Source organism: Homo sapiens, chromosome 13 (genome assembly GCF_000001405.40).
Source record: "Homo sapiens chromosome 13, GRCh38.p14 Primary Assembly".
In the NCBI taxonomy this organism is placed as follows: Eukaryota; Metazoa; Chordata; class Mammalia; order Primates; family Hominidae; genus Homo; species Homo sapiens.
Genome location: NC_000013.11, coordinates 74,230,957 through 74,256,818, shown reverse-complemented (window position 1 = coordinate 74,256,818; position 25,862 = coordinate 74,230,957). Strand labels below are relative to the sequence as shown.

At 39.2% G+C, this 25,862-nt stretch overlaps 1 protein-coding gene and 1 long non-coding RNA gene across 3 annotated transcripts in view, besides 1 other annotated feature; one reads left to right on the top strand and one right to left on the bottom strand.

Annotated features, from left to right (window-relative positions):
• Nucleotides 1-25,375, bottom strand: part of LINC00402 (long intergenic non-protein coding RNA 402) — a 28,533-nt gene extending 3,158 nt beyond the window's left edge. Inside the window, exon 1 of the long non-coding RNA NR_144451.1 lies at nucleotides 25,067-25,375. This is a non-coding gene — a long non-coding RNA (long intergenic non-protein coding RNA 402). The remainder of the gene's footprint in view (nucleotides 1-25,066) is intronic.
• The window catches only part of KLF12 (KLF transcription factor 12), a 619,957-nt gene that overhangs the window by 49,227 nt on the left and 544,868 nt on the right, over nucleotides 1-25,862 (top strand). The gene's annotated exons all lie outside the window — the stretch shown is intronic.
• Nucleotides 15,080-15,633: an enhancer, noted in NCBI's record as "NANOG-H3K27ac-H3K4me1 hESC enhancer chr13:74815323-74815876 (GRCh37/hg19 assembly coordinates)". NCBI's record gives its function as "activates a minimal SCP1, AML or CMV promoter by ChIP-STARR-seq in primed H9 embryonic stem cells {active_cell/tissue: H9 hESC(primed)}" and the evidence as "EXISTENCE:reporter gene assay evidence [ECO:0000049][PMID:30033119]".

Genomic DNA, 25,862 nt, shown 5'->3' with positions numbered 1-25,862 from the left:
GATCAAACAGTGATTAAAATCGGGACTAGTGAATGACAGTGAGTCTGCAAATAGTAGGCCGTTTCCAAAACAGCGTGGCAACAGATAGGAAAATCTTAGACACACACACACACACACACACACACACACAAGCTCTACTCAGAGTTTTCCACTAATAAAAGAAAAGCTTAATGCTGTATAAACTCACCCCCTCACTACCACCACCACCAATGTGTTGAAGTGCTAGCTTTACCCTACTGATTCGCTGGTGGGTTGAAGGGCTCATTATCCCACCCACTGTAACTTACCTATTGATGGAAGTGTCTCCTGTGGATCATTTCATTTTAATTGTTTTACTGTACCAGTCCCTAATACAGTCCCACCCAGATCCACAAGTTACTCAACTTTTCATCTTCACAACAATGAGATGAACAAGTTCCATCCTCTTGATTTGAAATGTACAAGAACAAGACCCACAAAGCACAACAGTGGCTGAGCTGGGACTGGAATTCAGTTGTCTTTATTTTCAGTTATGTGTTTTGTTCTATTTTGTTCTGTTTGTGTTGTTTATTGTTTTTATCCTCTGGGCCATGCTGATTCCAGTGTTAGCCGATATCAGAGATGTGAGCCAAGTATGTCTTAGCCTTGAAGCAGTTCATTCCTGACTTCTTTTTTTTTTTTTTTTGAGACAGAGTCTCACTCTGTCACCCAGGCTGGAGTGCAGTGGCGCGATCTCCCCTCACTGCAAGCTCCGCCTTCTGGGTTCACGCCATTCTCCTGCCTCAGCCTCCCAAGTAGCTGGGACTACAGGCGCCCGCCACCACGCCTGGCTAATTTTTTGTATTTTTAGCAGAGACGGGGTTTCATCATGTTAGCCAGGATGGTCTCGATCTCCTGACCTCGTGATCCACCCACCTCAGCCTCCCAAAGTGCTGGGATTACAGGCGTGAGCCACCGTGCCCGGCCTCATTCCTGACTTCTTTAAGGTAGTAGATGTCATCTCAGTCATCTCATTAGATGATGGCATTTGACTGGAATCTAAAAACATTTTATTTGAATTTTATGGAAATATATTTGTCTCCTCAGTAAGCAGCAGCAGTCAGTAGATAGAGTTAGTTCTCCTATATACAACAATCTTATTTAGCAAGAAAACATTTCTTAGAAAATAATTTCTAGGCTAGAGACACAATTTTAATTAAGTAGAAACCACTCAATATAATAGAAGCTACAAATAACTGTTTTGTGGATATCCTTCTCAGGTCAAAAATAATTTGGTAAAACAACTTCCTGAAATTATATCCATTTTAGGTCTCATTACATCATGCAATTGAAAGCTCAATGAAATTCTGATTAGTAGCCTGCTGTTAAATGATACCACATAAAAGGCAAAATGTCATTTAATTGATAAGCAACTAAAAACTTAACTAGGCTATATACCCTCAGCAAATGAGTATACATCAAAAACAATGATGTTATATTTCTTCATTAATCCTAAAAATGCACTCTGGCACATGCAATGTGCTGAGTGAAGTTTGTCTTTGTACCCAACACCCTCCTTCTTTAACTTGAAGACAGGCTCAGTCTCTCTTATTAACCAGTATTTATGGAGCACTTACTTGGGACAAGTTACCATGCTAACCATTATGGGGTCTTAAAATGAATAATAAAAATGGTCCCTTCCTTAAAGTATTAGTTTACTAAATATCTGTTACAGAAGATATATTATTTTTAATGCTAAATTTCTAAAACTAAATCCTAGACATTAGACAGGAGTATTGATCAAAGCTCAGGCAGCCAACCTTTGCAGGCACCAATCTTTTCTCCAACATTCTTCTAATTCCTGTCAATCTTGGCTGATGATCACAGCAGCAGCCATTCAAAGTGAGAAGAACTGTTCCCTCTTGAGCTCTATGGTCCATTTATGGCCACCTCACCTTTTCTTTACTTATTCATAGCACAGCTGAGGTAAAGCCTGCATATTTCAGCGAGGTTTATTAATAACTAAGGGACAAACAACAAAAGAGAAATAAACACACACACACGCACACAAACACACACACACATACACGCAAACCATGGCATGTGATGGTGTGATTTAGACCATATATGTATTTATTCTGTTTAAGGAGTCACTTCCCTGTCTAGCTCCGAGCCTCACATCACACGGAAGAGGCTACCTATAAACTTTACCACCTTAGAAGCACAGTTGAGAATTTCTAGATTCAGCAGGCAATGGACAGAATGGTTGTGATCATGGGCTTTGAGGTCAGTTAGAAATGAGTTCAAAACCCAGCTTTGCTATATTTCTGTGTAGATTTCAGCTGTAAGTATCTATAATCCTCTGAAAATTGCATTAATAATGCCTGCCTTATTGGGTTGTTCTCAGAATTAAAAGAAATAACAAGTACTTGCCACATCACAGACCATAACTGCACAATAAGTAGTATTAATGTTATCATCCTTATAACAATGATCATGTAAAAGCATAAGAGATATCAAAACCCAAGGTGAATGGAGTTATCTCTTGCTTACCTAGAGCCTACCATCCATACTTTCATTTTCTGTCTCATGGCCTGTTTTATCCTAGTTAATTGGTACCAAGAAAGTCCACTCCAATCAGTAAAGACTATGTGGACATTTAGCAACAGCACTACTAAAAGGCAAAAACAAAATAATCCACTCAGTAAATAAAAACACACAATCCTGCATGACATATACATATATGGAATGCATATAATTATGCATGAAGGGTTAAACAATAATTAAAAGATAATTCAAGGCTTTACATAATTAAATAGAAAACAAATACACAACCAGCTTTGAGGGAGAGAAAGAGGAAAAGAGAGAAATTGATAAACATGATTTTTTAAAAGACTCCCTGGTCAAATAAGTTTTAGAAATTCTGGTTTAAAAACATTAAAAGTTTCATATTGTAAGGCTTCTCATAATCTGTAATAAGCTAATGTGCACTATGGAGCTCACATACTGGGTACATAATTTGTAGTGTTTTCATAATTTATATAGGCTGGGCTTTTGCAAATGTGTCTCACTCTTTGCTTGTTTGTTTGGTGGTAGTACAGATAGTTCATGAACTAGAGTTCTTTGGAATACATTTTGAAAAATACTGGTAAATTCGAAAAAGTATTATTATTCTAGCAGATAGATAGCTCTATGTGCTCTAACAGGCTGGCAAGTTTTAATGGGAAAGAGGTTTTAATCTCTTTGAAAAATGAGTAGGACAGAGCATTCAACATCAGAATTAATAAATTGATACATAGCTACTTAAAGATATTTTTACATATTCATTTATTTATAACATTCCCTTTTTATTTCACTTATACTTTTAATATCCACAAGGGATTTGAGGTGGCTCCCAGAGGTATATTTACCCCTCACAACCACTTAGCTACCACTTCAAAATAGTCCTTTACATTGCATGATATATTGTGGTTTCAAAGTCTTCACATGCAGGTTTCTCAGAATATGATGTGCTTAAGAATGTTGGGGGCAGGGGTGTGCAGTCTTGTTGGTAATAGTGATTCTCAGCCTGCAGTCAGATTCCTGTACTTTTAGCAAACATCTCAGGTTCCTCTATATAGGTAATGTTAAGACTATACTTTTTAAAAATGTTGCTTTAGATTAACGTTATTTTAAAATAATAGCTAATCAAAACTTTATCTTATTAAACTCTAAAAGCATAGATATTTCTCTAGAAATACAGATGATGAATGGGTGGATAGATGACAGTTAATAGATGGATTCCAAGGGTTTAAAGATGATAGATAGATGATAGATAGATAGGTAGATAGACAGACAGATAGATAGATAGATAGATAGATAGATAGATAGATAGATAGATAGACAGATGACAGATAGATAATAGATGGATTCCAAGGCTTTTAAATACATAAGTTATACATAGGGATAATCTAGACCGGATATTTCTAGTTTTTTGCTGGAATAATTTGTCTCTGCAAAGAGGTGACTTGAACTTCTAACGTATTTGTTTCAAATTGAGAAATAAAGAAAGGAAGAAGGGAAGGAAGAAAAGGAAGAATGGGGAAGAGAAGGGAGGATGGGAAGGAGGAAGAGAACAAAGCTGGTAGTTGTCTTTAAATATTTCTATTTCATTAAGAGAGTTTAAAGGGCAGAATTTGCCTTATATAATCATGATTAAGGATAATAAATAATTTGATTTAGAGCCACTGAGTTCAATGCCTATAGAAAGTAATGGTTAAATCTCTTAGAATTATGGCAGCTTTAGTTTCGTTATCTTTAGTGGCCAACCCCTCTCCACCTGCTCTTCCAAATGAGGAACATGGAATCTGGGTGCTGTGATATGCTGAAGGTTGTAGAGGCAGTTAGTGACAGTGATAGGGTCAGTCTTTTATGATGACTGTTGGGTCCTAGCCAAAAGCTGCACATAAGGCTGCATCTGAGAACAGCAGGAAAGAGGTATACCTGTAACAAAGCCTGGGGTCAAGAGTTAACCACATTTCTGTGGCAGGCCCTGCAGCAGTCACAACAGCCTAAGTCATAATGTGTGAGGAGCAGGTAAAGTCAGCTGACTTGGCTGGCAGCCCTACCTAAGGGTCCTTGGCAAGGTGAAGCGCAGCAACCAGAACCTTTCTAGGGTAAACAAGCGTTAGGTCAATAATCTATATGTCTAGTTTCTTAACAACTAAGGGATAACTAAAGAAAAATAAACACACACAACAAAACAACATGGTATAAGATGGTGAGGCTTGCACGGTCCTTGGGGGAAGTGGTGCCTGCCCTTGTGAATCAGAACCACAGCTGTCAAGTTCAGCCTGTCCCAGACCCATCCCAACATCCCCTAATGATTACCTGCCATCTGCGTTCTTGGCCACACCCATCTAGGCACCAAAAACTGACTCAGCCTAGCAGAATTAGAAGCTCTGACCCTGCCCGCTTGCAACTGGGGTCTGGAAACTGTCCATTGCTGTCTTAAGTCATGCAGCCTGGAGGACAACAGAATCCTCTGTGCCAGAAAGAATATTACATTTCAAGTTCCCTAATTAACCCTCATGTCACAGCCAACTTGTCTAACTGACCCTTTTGAAAGTTCGTTTATAATGCTGGGTTTCTCTTGCAAGCAACTTCTCCATGGTAGGGAATCAGGAACCTATCTCTGAACGCCAGTCAGCCAACTGGGGAGCCAAATCTTTCTCACCTGGTGGGGGAGGGTAGGAAGATGAGGGAGGATGGGAGAATGTTAATACTGGAGGAGAGTAAGGTGGCAAGGAGCAGGAAGTGCATCAGGAACTTAGCACATCAGACCTCAGTGGAATGCAGGGGTCCAGCCACAATGAAGTTTTGAAAAGTAAAAACCCATTCTATATAAAAGTGAAAATTAGAAAATCACAGAAGATTTGCTGGGTGTGGTGGCTCATGCCTGTAATCCCAGCCCTTTGGGAGGCCAAGGTGGGCGGATCACTTGAGGTCAGGAGTTCAAGACCAGCCTGCCCAACATGGTAAAATATTTTATCTACCAAAAGAAAAAAAAAATTAGCAGGATGCATGCTTGTAATCCCAGCTACTTGAGAGGCTGGGGCAGGAGAATCGCTTGAACCCAGGAGGCAGAGGTTGCAGTGAGCTCAGATAACACCACTGCACTCCAGCCTGGGTGATAGAATTAGACTCCATCTCAAAAAAAACAAAAAAAGAGATTACCAAGAAGATTACTCAGTACAATGAGTTCACGAGATTCATAGCTGGGTGATTTACTCAGATATGACAGACACCAGACTCAGAACTATGGTAATGAAGCTTTCATTAAACTTGTAGCCTGGGGCAATGTCAGGACAGGCAGCAGGCATGGCTGTATCCAGGGGATGGAGATCCTGGGCTCCCTTGAGAAGAACTAGGGAAGACTGGGACTGACTTTAATTTGTTGTGTTAAAACTGCAACACTTTTCATTAATTATTCTTTGAATGTTGGCATGTTTTCTCTACCACTTTTGGCACATCTATCTTTTTGCTGCTTTTTCGAGGTGATGACTAATGCATGTAATGGTTAGAAAAAAATATAAAACTATGCAATGCTGAGTTCATTTTTATAGCAGCCTTGATCCTTTTTTTCCTTAGGTATCTTCCTAAACAGCCTTGATCTTTTTTTGAAGTTTGATTTAATAAGACCATCAGTCATTGGCGTGTTCGATATAATGAGTGCCTGACAGATGTAGCACAGAATTGCTGGACTCTCTTACCAGGAACGGGGTTAAGCTTCCTCACCAAGAAGCCTAGCTCTGGCCTTCTCTGCCCCTACCCTTCCCTAAGGCTGCCTCCAGCATTCCCTCCAATAGTCTCATGGTTCTAACCTTTTTCTTTTTGATACCCTTCTTCTTCAGCATCCTTTCCTCCTAAGTTCTCCAGGGTTCCTTTCTCCACACATTTCTCCTTTCACCTGGTGTTAATTCTTGTCCTCATCCTACCTGCTGATGACCTCAAAGACCTTTTGCATGATTTCAAGATATCTGTGGAATAATTTCACAGTCCTGCCATCAACATTTTTTACCAACTAAAGCATGAAGGAAATGGATCTACTCCTTTTCTTCAAGCACATAGCTCTCTGTGTGTAGAACTCTTGTCCTCATGGTCTTCATTACCTGACAACTACTCCCACCCTGAATTCCTCAATCTTCCCTCTCAAAGTATGACTCCTTCCACGTATCCATCCATTTATTGATTGGTTTTCTATTCATTTGGCCCTTTTGTTGTGTCTTGACATAATGACTCCTCACTCCTCTTCCCAAAATGAGGACCTCAGATGTATGTCATAATTATGTCTCAATGTGTCTCATTACTGAGCCTAAAATTGAGCATCTCCAGCAAGACTATTTTGGTTACAAAGTTTGGACACTGTTGAGTGACCTGATTACTAAAGAGAGAACTTGAAATCAAAGCACAAGGGCACAGTTCCCACCTGCTGCCCTGTCCCCCAGCCTCAGGAACTTCCAGAAAGTGTCCACTGACTCTGTTTACCTCATCAGGGACTAACTGAAGAAACGCCTCCTCATGATATTCATATATTAAAAAATTCTCCAAGGACCCCACAGAGCATTTCTCAGTTAAGGACTCCTCAAAACAACAGCAGAGAACACATTGTTTCAAAAGCATTTCTTACATATTTTAAAAAAACACCACTATCAGAACTTTCAGGTTCCATAGGTTTCCCTCAAACAGAATTATGATTAATGAAAACCAAATTTTAAAAGTAAGAAACCTTGTCATTTTTCCCCAACTCTCACATACTGTGTTGATGCTCCTCCTACCCACCCACCCCTATCTCAATCCATCCTGAACCCAAGATGTTTGTGAGAATCCCTGAGAAGCTTGTGATCCAAACTCATGATCTGGACTCGCATATCCCCAAGGCACCGGGGCCCAGCTCTGAATTCTTTTTCAGCAGACATTTATGGCATTGAGTGAGGGTGTGCGTGTGTGTGTGTGTGTGTGTGTGTGTGTGTGTGTGTGTGTGTGATGCTCCTGCTTTCAAGGCTTTACTGTGCAGTAGAAATGCAAGAGTTGACATTTACTAAAAGTATCAAATATTTGCCATTCACTGTGCTAGGTTCTTTACATCCATTACAACACTTGATCTTTGTAGCTTTTTTTTATAAAGTGGATATTACTATTGCCATTTTAGAAATTAAAAAAAAAATCTTGAGGCAGAGAAAGAAGAAGCAACTAGCATTATCACACAGCAATTGTCAGAGACTGGTTTTGGACTCACGTTTGTCTGGCTCCAGGGTCCACAAATTTTCTCAATTTCAACCAACCTACTTTACCACCCTTACTTCCCATCTTTCCAATTCACTCCTCTAGAACCACACCTCTATCAATCCTTTAGCCTCCCAAGACTGACTGTCCATTGTTCCCACACATTTTCACTGTACCCCACCCTTCTCACGTCCCTCCTTCCCTTGTTCCCCACTTCAAATCCATGGTTGATCATCAGAAGCGCTCCTTGGCTCACACCTTTGGTTCTGCGGTGGTTTGCTCTCTTTGCATGCTCATTTGGTAAAACTCCAATCCCAGTTAAACCCAATGCTCCACTTCCTTTGTGTCTGCTTCCTCCCCATGGCTCAGAGCTGGAGAGAAACACACAGCCAATAGGACTGGTCTCGGGTGAGCCACAAACATCAGGTTAGCCCTTAATGATGGGCACTTTTATGATTGTTGTACCACATGTTTAAACAGCTGACTATAAGAAAACTGGATGAGATAAGTTCTATAACTCCCCAAATATGTCCCAAGGTGAAATCTAGTATATACACATACGATTAAGCATTGGCTGAAATTATATTAGTTGATGAAGGCTATTTCTCCTAGTTTCTTTAAGCTCTCCTTATTCTTCCTGGAAACATATGAAGCTTACTTTTAGAACCAACGTCTCCACCTTTGCCAAACAACAGAGAAATCTAAGTGGCTATAATAAAAGTGCAAATAGTCTTTATCTTGGCCAACAGCAATGCATCCAAGCATCAGCAGAGAAAGACTGGCTGGCCACCTGCATGTTTCCTCATAGCAATAGCATCTTCTCCCTCACCATTTCAGGCTCAAAATCTGAATGCTTCCAGAGTACTGAGAGTGAACACAAGCTCTCAGTGTAAACTCACAAGAATCAAACTGACAAACGGATGTACAAAACCAGAATACAACTACATGTAGGCCTGTTGCAAAGTCCCCAATATTTGAAGCAGCATAACCAGCTCTCCTCCCCAATATAAAAAGCCACATCAGAAGCAGGTTGATTGAGGAGCTTGGCATGAGAGGAAAAGAAGTTACCTCAGTTAAGTTCATAATAGCATTAGTCTAAGATAGCTTAAGGCATCCAGCGCCACAATGGGACTGGAATTCTGGTAGTCCCTTGGCCCCCATTCCTTTGCACAGTGCTTGGGAGATCACTTATTAGCTTCTGTGATCCTCTCCCCTTCCCACCATAATATTCAAAATATCTTCCTTTAACATTAATTCATTCAATTTGGTCACTGTTACATCTCACGGACATGAAAACCATTCTATCTGTTTATGCTAATTTGACTGGCTGGAGGCAATGGCTCATGCCTGTAATTCCAGCACTTTGGGAGGTCAAGGTGGGAGGATTGCTTGAAGGTAGGAGTTCAAGACCAGTCCGCGCAAAATAGTGAGACCCCAGCCTCTACAAAAAAATAATAATAATAAATAACTAAAAAAAGATAACTTGACATAACTCTAATTTCTTACACCTTGGTTTCATAGGTAAATTATCAGAGTTGAATTACAAGAGAAAGTGCTATGAGGTATCCTGTCGGAGATAAGAAAATCAGGTAGGATACTTAGGGCCCTTCATCTTTCTTCTTCACCTATGCACAGGGCTGGTACATCTGGATATGTGCCAAAAAACTGATTCAAGAGGAAAATTCAATTAGCAGTAGCAAAGATCCCCCCAAATTGCCCATGTGTGGCTGGTATTTTTTTCAAAGAGTTATTATTACAGCAAAATGCTGCTATTTAGTCCATGTCACCCCTGCACACCATCAGATCTGTAAAAACAAGGAAATTATTTCATCTTGTATTGTCTTTTTGGTTCAAAACAATCTGAACCCATCTTCATCATCAAGAGCGTTTGTGATACAGGTATTCATTTGACTGCAATGTAAGAAACAAGATATCAAAGATATTGTTTTCTCTGCTTTGTCTTTTCTGCACCCTCAATTTATTTTCTTTGAAATCTGGTCGAAAAAAAAGAAGCTTACTGCTTCAAAATTCATTATTAGTACAATAAGATCGTTTTCACAGAATGTAGTAACTATGGATGGAATTCAAACTACTGATGTCTATATTATGATCATATTTTTCAACTAAAAGTCTCTTTTTAAATTAATTACAGCATACCAGTTAATTCCTCTGAGCATTCAGATTTTTCACCATAAGTAATTAACTCCTCTGACCCTCCCTCATCTTTTTTAACACCATGAGCCACTGTCATTAGCATCGAGTCAGATGTGCTTTCTCATCCGTGCCGCACACAGAGGCAAGTCACAGCCACAGCCCTCTGACTTCTAAATGCACACGTGCATAAGTGTGCAGAGATCCTCTCTCCTTGGAGGCTTCCTGCACAAAGACTTGGATTTCTGATGGAAACGCCACTGAGGTGATCTTTGCCATCTGTCCGGTGTTTCTGGAGAGGCATCACGGGTTCATGTCGGAGGAGAGAGAGTTGATGTGTTCCTCACATTGGTCTGTGTTATTTTTTCCACCCACCAAGCCAGTAAGCTGGCAGGGGGCCACTTTCTATTTTCTCAGAAGCACAGAGTGGTTCCCCTGTATTTTAAAAAGGCAAATGCTGCCTTATTCAACCTAATAATTCCTCAAAAAACAAGAGCAAATAACTGAGCCCACTGCATTTTATGCCTGAGGAATAAGCCGAGGCAACATTCTAAATACTTTAGCTTCTCCTTCCTAAAAGACAGAAAAGTAGGGTAGAAAATGGGCTGTCTTCAATGGGAGCCACCCACCTTCTGACACTCTGAGTACAAGAATGTGCTATTCCTAGTTCATCCTGCAATTCCCAAACAGAATTTGATCAAACCCTAGTACCAGGTAGCCCTGTCATAAGTGCGTCATCCATTTAAAACAGCACGTATCCACTTTTAACAGAAGCCGATCTGAAATTGTTGACTGTCTATTCTGATATATATAACTAGAGTTCTAGGAATGATGTTGAAGCATAGGCATTTGGGGAAGGCACACTTGGGTGTCGTGTCAAAGCCAGAGAATTGGCACACTGACATTGAAGAGGGCTTGAGAAAAAGACCTTTAGGTGCAAGGAAAGAAGTTTTGATTACCAACAATAACCCTTCTACTAGTGTCTGGGGAAAAGTTACTGAAACTCAGCTTTGCCATGCGATCAATTTAGTTTTTCATTGATACTTTAACATACAGTTACTATGATTTTTTAAAATTCTAGTATTAGTCTTCCACGTTAACTTTGTCTGTTCAAAACTAAGTTGTTGTCCCCTCTTATTTACAAGAGGTAAGTGGTTAAGTAATTCAGGTCTTTCTTTGAAAAACTGTATTAGGTGACTATCCTTAGTGAAACACTTTGCTATGTTCCACAGTGGATACAAGGTTCATAAAACAACAAATTTTATGTATAAAATAAGGTCAATAAAATATGGTAAGAACTCTCAGCCAGAAATGAGAAAATAAAACAAGGTTCTCAGAGCAATCATTTCCTGTTTTTAAGCCTCAACTTTTTAATCTATCAAATGAGAAAATCTGTTAGGAGGTTTCTAAATTCATTTACAATGTTAACATTCCTTCACAGGTCTTTATTTTCCTCCTACTAGATCTGCTTTGTTTTAAAACCTGTCTCATTTTTCCATGCAACAATTTCTCTCTCTGATCCTATATTACTTTCCTAGCAATTTCATCTACTCCCATAGCTTTAATTTCCACTTTCAGACTTTTAATACCAAAATGTTGTAGATGATAGATAGATAGATAGATAGATAGATAGATAGATAGATAGATAGATAAACTTATCTCCCATTCTTCAAACCTGATATACAGCTTCCTACCAAATGTCTCACCTGTATGTCCCAAATTCATCACAAACGTTCATGTTCAAAATTGAAAACCTTCTTCTTTTCTTGTATCTGTCTCAATAAATAATAATACTGGCTACCCAAATACCAAAACAAAGAACTGGAAATTTTCCTTGATAGCTTCTCTAGCCATCCAACTGGTACTCTGACCTGCTGATTCTTCCTCTTCTATTCTCATGCCTCTAATCCCTCTTCCAGGGCTACCATCAGAGTCATCAGAGTGACTTTTCCAAATCCTAAATATGTTAATCTATCTTTTTGTAAGTTTGAATCATTTAGTCATATGTTTGTTGCTGCTGTCACCATCTTAAAATCCACCAGTGGTTCCCTATTACCAAAAAGTGCTTCTCAATTTGGAATACACATTGCTCAGGAGGCCTGGTAATGTGCTGGGGGAATTCAAAACTCAGGATAACATCTTGTTTTTGAAATTCAATTTTACTTGGTAGCAATAAGTTGAAAAATTGTCCTAGCATTAAAAGGAGTAGGACAATACACATTAGAATCCAAAAAATATGAAGGGATACTATAAATACATTTTTCATTTGTGATGGCCCACTTCAGGCTATGCCCCCAAAACCCACAGTGGAGGGCAGATATTCTTCTTACCCCTTTGGAACACTTTAGATGAAATGTTTGAGAAGTATCATGAATGCAGAATAAAACCAAGACTTCTTAGTACAACACTTGCAATTCTCCATCATCTGATTCCTACCTAATTACCTCAACGGTCTCATCCTCTTCCCTCTGTCCCTGTCTGCAACTTGTGATGGTGTAAGCTTGGTGGACCTGCTTGAAAGTAGAAAGTGATAAGTTTGGAGGGAAGTTCAAAAGAATTATTGGAGCCAGCTCATGTTCTTCATGCCACAATAAGACTTACTTCAGTAGACTATGGGGAGCCCCTGAATGTTTTAGGTAGTGGAACATCAGGATCATCTGTAGTTTATAAATAAAAGACTAAGCTACATCATGATACCTCTAGTAACAAAGTGACATATGGATCAAAGACTGGAGGGAAGTCCAGGTGAAAGATGAAATTCTTAACAATTACCAAAGATGATATTCTTAACAATTACTGAAGAGTCAACTGTGGGAATATAAGTGACACTTTTCACTCTAAAGGTTTGAGGTTAAAAACAAAAAATTCAACCACAGCAGGAACTGTGATAATGATTCATTTGGTAAACATCCTGTAGTAGATGTTTCCGATACTCATATTAGTAAAAGCAAGCAAATTCAGTTTTTCTAACCCCAACATATGTTCATTAAAACAAGTGAGACAGATCACAATTGTCTTTTGCACATATTGAGTCCACAATTTCAAAATTGTGTGCTAGTGTCGGGCCTCCTCCACATTGCCTATACACTCTGTTCCCATTGCTTAGAATGCCCTTCTTAGTATGGACCCTATTCCAATTGTGGAACCCTTAACTGCATTTCAAAACCCAGGACAAATGATACCTCCTTAAAGAATGTCCTCTCATGGCCAACAAACATATGAATAAAATGTTCATCATCATTAGTCATTAGAGAAACGCAAATCAAAACCACAATGAGATACCATCTCATGCCAGTTAGAATGGCGACCATTAAAAAGTCAGGAAACAACAGATGCTGGAGAGGATGTGGAGAAGTAGCAATGCTTTTACACTGTTGGGGAGAGTGTAAATTAGCTCAACCATTGTGGAAAACAGTGTGACAATTCCTCAAGGATCTAGAACCAGGAATACCATTTGAACCAGCAATTCCACTACTGGGCATATACCCAAAGGATTATAAATCATCCTACTATAAAGACACATGCACACATATGTTTATTGTAGCACTATTCACAATAGCAAAGACTTAGAACCAACCCAAATGCCCATCAATGATAGACTGAATAAAGAAAATGTGGCACATATACACCATGGAATACTATGCAGCCATAAAAAAAATGAATTCATGTCCTTTGCAGGGACATGGATAAAGCTGGAAACCATCACTCTCAGCAAACTAACACAGGAACAGAAAACCAAACACCGCATGTTCTCACTCATAAGTGGGAGTTGAACAATGAGAACACATGGACACAGGGAGGGGAATATCACACACCGGGGCCTGTCAGGGGTGGGGGACAAGGGGAGGGAGAGCATTAGGACAAATATCTAATGCCTACAGGGCTTAAAACCTAGATGATAGGTTGATAGTGCAGCAACCCACCATGGCACATGTATACCTATGTAACAATCCTGCACGTTCTGCATATGTATCCTAGAACTTAAAGTAAAAGAAAAGAAAAGTGCTCTCACTGCCACCAAATGAAGATTCATCAGGGCTCTGCAGTGGGTGGCAGTGAGAGGCAACTTCCCCGAGTGCCCAGAAATTCTATGTACACGTGGCTCTGATAGCCTCACCTTGCTGTAATATGTCTCTGCATGTTCAGCTCACTTTAGACTGTGAGCTTCTTAAAAATAGGGCCACGCCTTCTTTCCCCTTGTATCCCCAGTATCCTTGGGCAGGATGCTCAAGCCCTACACCTACTAAACAATTGAGAGTTTATTGGATGAGCATATTAAAGAATTAAAACTCACAAAGAAACTAGCCTCATGACTTTGTTACGTCTCATATAAACACGTGTGTGTTGATATCATTTGGCTATGTCCTCACCCAAATCTCATCTTGAATTGTAGCTCCCGTAATTCCCATGTATTGTGGGAGGGACCCAGTGGGAGATAATTGAATCATGGGAATAGTTTCCCACATACTATTCTTGTGGTAGTGAATAAGTCTAATGAGATCTGATGGTTTTATAAGGGGTTTCCTCTTTCACTTGGTTCTCATTCTCTCTCTCCTGCCACCATGTAAGACATGGCTTTTGCCTTCCACCACGATTGTGAGGCCTCCCCAGCCCATGGAACTGTGAGTCCATTAAACCTCTTTTTCTTTATGAATTAATAGGTCACAGATATGTCTTTATCAGCAGCATGAAGACAGACTAATACACATGTCAAAGAAAATTCAGGGACATGTAAACTCATTTCAGAAATAAAAGTCCATCTTACAAGATTAAATCTACCTTCTATAAAATTTGACTATTCAACTGATCTATACTTCCTGTAAGTAGTAACATCATTAACAAACATTTTATGTTTGAGGGGGAATTAAGTAATGATCATGCAAATACAGAACTTTTAAAATTTAACTCTCCAATAACACTCCACAGAGTGGGCAGAAGAGCTTTTAATATTCCTACTTTAAAAATTCGGTACCTGGGGGGAGGAGCCAAGATGGCCAAATAGGAACAGCTCCGGTCTACAGCTCCAAGCGTGAGCGACGCAGAAGACGGTGATTTCTGCATTTCCATCTGAGGTACCGGGTTCATCTCACTACGGAGTGCCAGACAGTGGGCGCAGGTCAGTGGGTGCATGCACCGTGCGCGAGCCGAAGCAGGGCGAGGCATTGCCTCACTTGGGAAGGGGTCAGGGAGTTCCCTTTCTGAGTCAAAGAAAGGGGTGACGGACGGCACCTGGAAAATCGGGTCACTCCCACCCGAATACTGCGCTTTTCCGACGGGCTTAAAAAACGGCGCACCACGAGATTATATCCGGCACCTGGCTTGGAGGGTCCTACGCCCACGGAGTCTCGCTGATTGCTAGCACAGCAGTCTGAGATCAAACTGCAAGGCAGCAGCGGCAGCGAGGCTGGGGGAGGGGCGCCCGCCATTGCCCAGGTTTGATTAGGTAAACAAAGCAGCCCAGAAGCTCGAACTGGGTGGAGCCCACCACAGCTCAAGGAGGCCTGCCTGCCTCTGTAGGCTCCACCTCTGGGGGCAGGGCACAGACAAACAAAAAGACAGCAGTAACCTCTGCAGACTTAAATGTCCCTGTCTGACAGCTTTGAAGAGAGCAGTGGTTCTCCCAGTACGCAGCTGGAGATCTGAGAATGGGCAGACTGCCTCCTCAAGTGGGTCCCTGACCCCTGACCCCCGGGCAGCCTAACTGGGAGGCACCCCCCAGCAGGGGCACACTGACACCTCACATGGCTGGGTACTCCAACAGACCTGCAGCTGAGGGTCCTGTCTGTTAGAAGGAAAACTAACAAACAGAAAGGACATCCACACCAAAAACCCATCTGTACATCACCATCATCAAAGACCAAAAGTAGATAAAACCACAAAGATGGGGAAAAAACAGAGCAGAAACACTGGAAACTCTAAAAAGCAGAGCGCCTCTCCTCCTCCAAAGGAACGCAGTTCCTCACCAGCAACGGAACAAAGCTGGATGGAGAATGACTTTGACGAGCTGAGAGAAGAAGGCTTCAGACGATCAAATTACTCTGAGCTATGGGAGGACATTCAAACCAAAGGCAAAGAAGTTGAAAACTTTGAAAAAAATTTAGAAGAATGTATAACTAGAATAACCAATACAGAGAAGTGCTTAAAGAAGCTGATGGAGCTGAAAACCAAGGCTCGAGAACTACGTGAAGAATGCAGAAGCCTCAGGAGCCGATGCGATCAACTGGAAGAAAGGGTATCAGCAATGGAAGATGAAATGAATGAAATGAAGCGAGAAGGGAAGTTTAGAGAAAAAAGAATAAAAAGAAACGAGCAAAGCCTCCAAGAAATATGGGACTATGTGAAAAGACCAAATCTACGTCTGATTGGTGTACCTGAAAGTGATGGGGAGAATGGAACCAAGTTGGAAAACACTCTGCAGGATATTATCCAGGAGAACTTCCCCAATCTAGCAAGGCAGGCCAACGTTCAGATTCAGGAAATACAGAGAACGCCACAAAGATACTCCTCGAGAAGAGCAACTCCAAGACACATAATTGTCAGATTCACCAAAGTTGAAATGAAGGAAAAAATGTTAAGGGCAGCCAGAGAGAAAGGTCGGGTTACCCTCAAAGGGAAGCCCATCAGACTAACAGCGGATCTCTCGGCAGAAACCCTACAAGCCAGAAGAGAGTGGGGGCCAATATTCAACATTCTTAAAGAAAAGAATTTTCAACCCAGAACTTCATATCCAGCCAAACTAAGCTTCATAAGTGAAGGAAAAATAAAATAATTTACAGACAAGCAAATGCTGAGAGACTTTGTCACCACCAGGCCTGCCTTACAAGAGCTCCTGAAGGAAGCACTAAACATGGAAAAGAACAACCGGTACCAGCCGCTGCAAAATCGTGCCAAAATGTAAAGACCATCGAGACTAGGAAGAAACTGCATCAACTAACGAGCAAAATAACCAGCTAACATCATAATGACAGGATCAAATTCACACATAACACTATTAACTTTAAATGTAAATGGACTAAATGCTCCAATTAAAAGACACAGACTGGCAAATTGGATAAAGAGTCAAGACCCATCAGTGTGCTGTATTCAGGAGACCCATCTCACGTGCAGAGACACACATAGGCTCAAAATAAAAGGATGGAGGAAGATCTACCAAGCAAATGGAAAGCAAAAAAAAAGGCAGGGGTTGCAATCCTAGTCTCTGATAAAACAGACTTTAAACCAACAAAGATCAAAAGAGACAAAGAAGGCCATTACATAATGGTAAAGGGATCAATTCAACAAGAAGAGCTAACTATCCTAAATATATATGCACCCAATACAGGAGCACCAAGATTCATAAAGCAAGTCCTGAGTGACCTACAAAGAGACTTAGACTCCCACACATTAATAATGGGAGACTTTAACACCCCACTGTCAACATTAGACAGATCAACGAGACAGAAAGTCAACAAGGATACCCAGGAATTGAACTCAGCTCTGCACCAAGCAGACCTAATAGACATCTACAGAACTCTCCACCCCAAATCAACAGAATATACATTTTTTTCAGCACCACACCACACCTATTCCAAAATTGACCACATACTGGGAAGTAAAGCTCTCCTCAGCAAATGTAAAAGAACAGAAATTATAACAAACTATCTCTCAGACCACAGTGCAATCAAACTAGGACTCAGGATTAAGAATCTCACTCAAAACGGCTCAACTACATGGAAAATGAACAACCTGCTCCTGAATGACTACTGGGTACATAACGAAATGAAGGCAGAAATAAAGATGTTCTTTGAAACCAACGAGAACAAAGACACAACATACCAGAATCTCTGGGACGCATTCAAAGCAGTGTGTAGAGGGAAATTTATAGCACTAAATGCCCACAAGAGAAAGCAGGAAAGATCCAAAATTGACACCCTAACATCACAAGTAAAAGAACTAGAAAAGCAAGAGCAAACACATTCAAAAGCTAGCAGAAGGCAAGAAATAACTAAAATCAGAGCAGAACTGAAGGAAATAGAGACACAAAAAACCCTTCAAAAAATTAATGAATCCAGGAGCTGGTTTTTTGAAAGGATCAACAAAATTGACAGACCGCTAGCAAGACTAATAAAGAAAAAAAGAGAGAAGAATCAAGTAGACGCAATAAAAAATGATAAAGGGGATATCACCACTGATCCCACAGAAATACAAACTACCATCAGAGAATACTACAAACACCTCTATGCAAATAAACTAGAAAATCTAGAAGAAATGGATAAATTCCTGGACACATACACTCTCCCAAGACTAAACCAGGAAGAAGTTGAATCTCTGAATAGACCAATAACAGGATCTGAAATTGTGGCAATAATCGATAGCTTACCAACCAAAAAGAGTCCAGGACCAGATGGATTCACAGCCGAATTCTACCAGAGGTACAAGGAGGAACTGGTACCATTCCTTCTGAAACTATTCCAATCAATAGAAAAAGAGGGAATCCTCCCTAACTCATTTGATGAGGCCAGCATCATGCTGATACCAAAGCCAGGCAGAGACACAACCAAAAAAGAGAATTTTAGACCAATATCCTTGATGAACATTGATGCAAAAATCCTCAATAAAATACTGGCAAAACGAATCCAGCAGCACATCAAAAAGCTTATCCACCATGATCAAGTGGGCTTCATCCCTGGGATGCAAGGCTGGTTCAATATACACAAATCAATAAATGTAATCCAGCATATAAACAGAGCCAAAGACAAAAACCACATGATTATCTCAATAGATGCAGAAAAAGCTTTTGACAAAATTCAACAACCCTTCATGCTAAAAACTCTCAATAAATTAGGTATTGATGGGACATATTTCAAAATAATAAGAGCTATCTATGACAAACCCACAGCCAATATCATACTGAATGGGCAAAGACTGGAAGCATTCCCTTTGAAAACTGGCACAAGGCAGGGATGCCCTCTCTCACCACTCCTATTCAACATAGTGTTGGAAGTTCTGGCCAGGGCAATCAGGCAGGAGAAGGAAATAAAGGGTATTCAATTAGGAAAAGAGGAAGTCAAATTGTCCCTCTTTGCAGACCACATGATTGTATATCTAGAAAACCCCATTGTCTCAGCCCAAAATCTCCTTAAGCTGATAAGCAACTTCAGCAAAGTCTCAGCATACAAAATGAATGTACAAAAATCACAAGCATTCTTATACACCAACAGACAAACAGAGAGCCAAATCATGAGTGAACTCCCATTCACAATTGCTTCAAAGAGAATAAAATACCTAGGAATCCAACTTACAAGGGATGTGAAGTACCTCTTCAAGGAGAACTACAAACCACTGCTCAAGGAAATAAACGAGGATACAAACAAATGGAAGAACATTCCATGCTCATGGGTAGGAAGAATCAATATCATGAAAATGGCCATACTGCCCAAGGTAATTTACAGATTCAATGCCATCCCCGTCAAGCTACCAATGACTTTCTTCGCAGAATTGGCAAAAACTACTTTAAAGTTCATATGGAACCAAAAAAGAGCCCGCGTCGCCAAATCAATCCTGAGCCAAAAGAACAAAGCTGGAGGCATCACACTACCTGACTTCAAACTATACTACAAGGCTACGGTAACCAAAACAGCATGGTACTTGTACCAAAACAGAGATATAGATCAATGGAACAGAACAGAGCCCTCAGAAATAACGCCGCATATCTACAACTATCTGATCTTTGACAAACCTCAGAAAAACAAGCAATGGGGAAAGGATTCCCTATTTAATAAATGGTGCTGGGAAAACTGGCTAGCCATATGTAGAAAGCTGAAACTGGATCCCTTCCTTACACCTTATACAAAAATCAATTCAAGATGGATTAAAGACTTAAACGTTAGACCTAAAACCATAAAAATCCTAGAAGAAAACCTAGGCATTACCATTCAGGACATAGGCATGGGCAAGGACTTCATGTCTAAAACACCAAAAGCAATGGCAACAAAAGACAAAATTGACAAATGGGATCTAATTAAACTAAAGAGCTTCTGCACAGCAAAAGAAACTACCATCAGAGTGAACAGGCAACCTACAAAATGGGAGAAAATTTTCACAACCTACTCATCTGACAAAGGGCTAATATCCAGAATCTACAATGAACTCAAACAAATTTACAAGAAAAAAACAACCCCATCAAAAAGTGGGCGAAGGACATGAATAGACACTTCTCAAAAGAAGACATTTATGCAGCCAAAAAACACATGAAAAAATGCTCACCATCACTGGCCATCAGAGACATGCAAATCAAAACCACAATGAGATACCATCTCACACCAGTTAGAATGGCAATCATTAAAAAGTCAGGAAACAACAGGTGCTGGAGAGGATGTGGAGAAATAGGAACACTTTTACACTGTTGGTGGGACTGTAAACTAGTTCAACCATTGTGGAAGTCAGTGTGGCGATTCCTCAGGGATCTAGAACTAGAAATACCATTTGACCCAGCCATCCCATTACTGGGTATATACCCAAACGACTATAAATCATGCTGCTATAAAGACACATGCACACGTATGTTTATTGCGGCATTATTCACAATAGCAAAGACTTGGAACCAACCCAAATGTCCAACAATGATAGACTGGATTAAGAAAATGTGGCACATATACACCATGGAATACTATGCAGCCATAAAAAATGATGAGTTCATGTCCTTTGTAGGGACATGGATGAAATTGGAAATCATCATTCTCAGTAAACTATCGCAAGAACAAAAAACCAAACACCGCATATTCTCACTCATAGGTGGGAATTGAACAATGAGAACACATGGACACAGGAAGGGGAACGTCACACTCTGGGGACTGTTGTGGGTTGGGGGAGCGGGGAGGGACAGCATTGGGAGATATACCTAATGCTAGATGACGAGTTAGTGGGTGCAGCGCACCAGCATGGCACATGTATACATATGTAACTAACCTGCACATTGTGCACATGTACCCTAAAACTTAAAGTATAATAAAAAAAAATAAAAATAAAAAAAATAAACTAAAAAAATAAAAAAATTAAAAAATAAAAATTCGGTACCTGAGAATGAAAGTAAATGTGTGTATATCCAAATTCCACTGCTGATCCTCCATTAAGATGCTGTCATATATGTTATTATGAATTTTAATTTAAAACAAAATGCCAGGGTAATAATATTTAAGGAAATGAAAATAAGTTTGCATGGCTTTTTAAATCTACTTTCTGGATATGTCTTACATACTTCAAAGGAGAGAAATACTCCTCATGAAAGTATAGCTTTTGATAATTATAAAAAGCAAGTGTAAATAGAAATAAATTGCTATTAACATATAAAGATCTTATCTCATTTTTCTGTAGTATTTTATTTTTATAGTTAGAGTGAGGGGGAGGCCATCCACAACAGCAGATGTACATATTTTAGTCAAAGATATTTTGTAACTATCTTCTTCTTTGATTTCTCCCCTGTCTATTATAATGAGGAAATTGAGATATTCAATCACTTCATGGCATAAAGCTGTGTGATAAAAAGTAAACTTTTAAAATAAACATAGGGAAGTGCAGAAAATAAATTATAGCACTGATTGAATACTTGCTATACAGAATAACTTAGATAAACTCTTGACACATGTTATCTCATTTAACATAAACCATGTTTTCTGGTTTCCTTACTGGCACCTACTACAAATAGCACCTGCATGTACTTGTTAACGTGAATTTAATGCCTTGGTAATTTATATCAAGTATCCAAACAAGGGCAGTCAAAGCCCAATTTTTGCTTACATCAACGAGGTTACAAACATCATCTATGACCCTCAAACCTCTGGATACATCTGCCTTCACGAGTTGACAAACACTCCCAGAAACTGTCTCATCAAAAACCAGAAAGCAAGTGACCACTGAGTCCATTTTGGTTTCTTGCATCCAGACTGTGTTATGTCACATTTTAAGATAAAAATATATACACATAGAGGATAGATAGTTAGATAGATAGATAGGTAGATAGAGAGTGAGTACTCAGAAGAGGACTTCAGAACTATCTCTAAGATTCTATCATTACATACAGTAAATGTATACCTTTTTATAAATTTTAAATAAAAGAAAAAGACCTTTCCATAAATTCCAAAATATGAGGTATCGATACATATAATGGTCTTCAGCAGGCAAAAGAGATTTGGAAAGAGATCTCCGAAGCTTTTTTTTTTTCCGAATAAGAGGTAAGAGTGGCAAAACCTACAAAATGTAGGTAAGTGAATCTACTGAATGGTCTCCAAATGTATGTATAGCCAAACGAATGAATAACTTGTCCTTCCTTGCATAATGACTTTTCCTTTGCTCCAATACCTTTCTTATTTCTGACTTCATTCTGTTGGTTTTAAAAATATGGACAGCTTTTAAGTGTAGCTTTATACATTAAAGATTGGATATTATCAGTTATTGGACAGGTACAGTGTGTCATACAGTGTTTCATGTGATTTGCAAACATAATCTCATGTAAGTAAGGTAGTCCTTCTTATCCAAGCTTTACAGATGATGAAAATATGGTTCAGAAAAAAATTAAGCCACTTGCTTAGATTCACACAGTTTTTGCAAGTTAGAGTTCAGATTTGAATCCAGGTCTTTCTGATTCTAAAATTTGAATTCTACCCACTGTGTTATGCTGCTTCACAGAGAATCATCTGAACATGCTGTACTGTGTCTTGGGATGCATTTTTATCTATAGGTAATATTTAATGTAGCAGCATTTTTCTATATGTATTCCATGGATGGCACTTATTTTTAATAGACTTTATTTTTTAAGCTGTTTTATGTTTACCAAAAAATTGAACAGGAAGTACTGAGAGTTCCCATCTATCCCCTCCCTACCTGTTATCCTCCTATTATCAACATCTTGCAATACTGTGGTATATTGGTTACAATTAATGAGCCAATACTGATACTTTCATCAGTGTTGTGGTTTTCTTCATATAGAACTTGTAGATATTTTGGTAGATTTATATCAAAGTATGTCATTTTGTTGTTGTTGCTAATGTAAATGGCATTGTGTTTTTTATTTCAAATTCCAATTGTTCATTTCTGGTATATAGAAAGCAAATGATTTTTGTATATTAAGCTTGTATCCCGCAATATTACCATGTTATTTATTGGAATGCCACTTTTTAATATTATTAAACATTCTTATCATATGATGATCTGAAGATGTCCATAAGGTGACAAGTTGCCTTATTATAAAAGACCCTCTGCTCTTTAATTCTAAAAAGTATATTCTAGATTTGAGATTAAAATTATTTCATTCATCTGTCTTCATATAGAATATTTAGTCATCTCGGGGATTTCTACAAACAATTCATGAGTTACTTTTAATTGAATATTATCATGCTTCTCCAAACTACAATGTGTAATTAGAAACAAAGAAATTGTATTTAAGTGTTACAGATTATGAATCTGCATGGGTGAATATGCTTCTGGAAGAACTGGTAACAAAATGACTTTTTTCCATTGCTCGTGAAATACTTGTCCCGAGGCACTCTCGTGTTTTTCTGGCCACGTATATGTGACATAAGCTCCTGTTGGGAGTTTCCCACCACAGGTATGCATTTCAGGGCACATAGTGGATGGAGCAGGTCAGGGCTGCTGGACCATGGAATCAGTATGATCAGAAGGGCCCTGAAGAAGTCGCAAAAAAGTAAAAAGTTCTGGTGTCATCCCATGTAGGCCGACAACAACAAAAAAGTTATAGGTATACAGTGTATCTTTATAAAATAAGATCAGGCCAGGCGCGGTGGCTCACGCTTGTAATCCCAACACTTTGGGAGGCCAAGGTAGGCAGATCACAAGTTCAGGAGATCAAGACCATCCTGGCTAACATGGTGAAATCCTGTCTCTACAAAATACAAAAAATTAGCCAGGCATGGTGGAACGCGCCTGTAGTCCCAGCTACTCGGGAGGCTGAGGCAAGAGAATCACTTGAACCCAGGAGGCGGAGGTTGCAGTGAGCTGAGATCACGCCACTGCACTCCAGCCTGGGCGACAGAGCAAGACTCTGTCTCAGAAAATAATAATAATAATAAATAAATAAGATCAACAAAATTTGATAGGTATAAAGATCACTGTATACCTATCACTTTTTTGTTGTTGTCAACCTACATGGGATGGCCCAACACTTTTTTGTTGTTGTTGACCTACGTGGGACCACATAATTATCAAGATAGAAATAGAAAAGCTATTCAAAATGTACTTCAATGTCATATACAGTGTATATTTATCACTTTCTTAAAAGCTTGGGACAGTGTATAAAATTACTTTTGTTGATATAGTTTCAATTTTCAGAGTGTAAAAACTGTCAAACCTAGATAAGACACTCTACTTTGAATGTAAAGTAAATTTCTAAAAAGTACTTATCCTTTTTTAGGTTTAGATAATTATTTAGAGGTGTGAGAGCATGGAAAAAGATATGACAAGAACAAGACAGTTTCTTATAGTAATCTGGTTCAAGAAATAATACAAACATATATGAATGAATAAATTATCAAGGTCAAATTAATGTAGCAGAAACTGAGACTGCCAAATGGACATACAAGAGAGTCAGCCGCAAAGGATCATGAAAGTTTACATGACCACAGTTATCAATTTGGAAATAGAAAATCTATTTAAAATGTACTTAAATATCATATTAATCTTCTATACACTTCAGAGAGGTGGAGTTTCATTGTTGCTGTTGTTACTAGTGTTTTTGTTGAATAACCCATTCTTTAGGAAGCACATAATGAAATTAACTCTGACTCCCTCCTTCTTCCCACACTGTCCCACAACCTCTTCCTCTGCCAGCAAGACTTGGAAGGAAGATGATTGTTTACAAGGGAAGGTAGATTAGTTTATGTTACTCCCAGATCTTGTTACACCATGAAATCATATAGTAAACATAGCTTCTAGAATTTTAACTTCCATATGTTATATTATCAATTCAGACCCCCCAAAACTAAATTTCTTTGAATATCTAATTTTAATAGGTTAGATGCTCTCTGCCAATTTTTCTCCTTAATATACAAACCTAACATGATAATAAAAACCAATAACAAAATCAGAGGCTTCCTAGACAGTAGCCCATCTTCATTTCCAGGTTAAAGATTTTGGTTGAGACTATTTGCAAGCATATAATAATAATTCCTGTGCAAGAGAGTCTCTATTGAATGATACGTACTCTGAAGATGGTATGAAGGAAAGAGGCTCTTAGGAAGATCCAAGCTGGCTGCCAAGCTTCCATATCCACTTCAAGGTTTCCTGTAATATTAAATGCTTGGCCTTCACAGAAGATATTTCCAAAGACAACATATACATTATGTTGTATATGTTGGGATAGTCAGGGCTGGAGGCTCCCAAACTTGTATATGAAACATGACATAACAGAAAGAGCAGGCTATTTGGAGGGAGAAGGTTGGGTTCAAGCCCAAGCCCTCAATCTCATTGACACTGCAAACAGGGACATCACTTAACTTCTACGGGTCCAGTTCACAAGTCTGCCTTACCTCTCTAGATAATAGTTTTGTTTTATCAAATCAAATGATGTGAAAGTAAGAACAAAAGAAGACATTGGTAAGATATTCAAGAGGTTAAAAGAGGATGTGGTAAGTGATTACCATATTTCTCCCTCCTCTTTCTTCTCTTAGTTTTAACTGCTTAGCAAAATATTTACTGAGTGCCTGCTAAGTTTCAGCGATAAGCCCTGGAGATACAGAGGGAAAAAAAAAAATGACATGGTCCCTGACCTGAAGTAGCCAAGGAGTGACATTTACCTGACTTTACTTTTATAAGGATCACTGTGGTTACTACATTGAGCATACATGACAGGCAGATGACGATGCAAGCAGAGATACTTGGTTTATACACTACTGTATCATTTCAGGCAAAAAAAAAAAAAAGGTAGCAGCTTGTACAAGGGTGGTAGTAGCGAAAGTACTGAGGATTCAACTAAGATGAGGACCAATGACTAAGCTTTG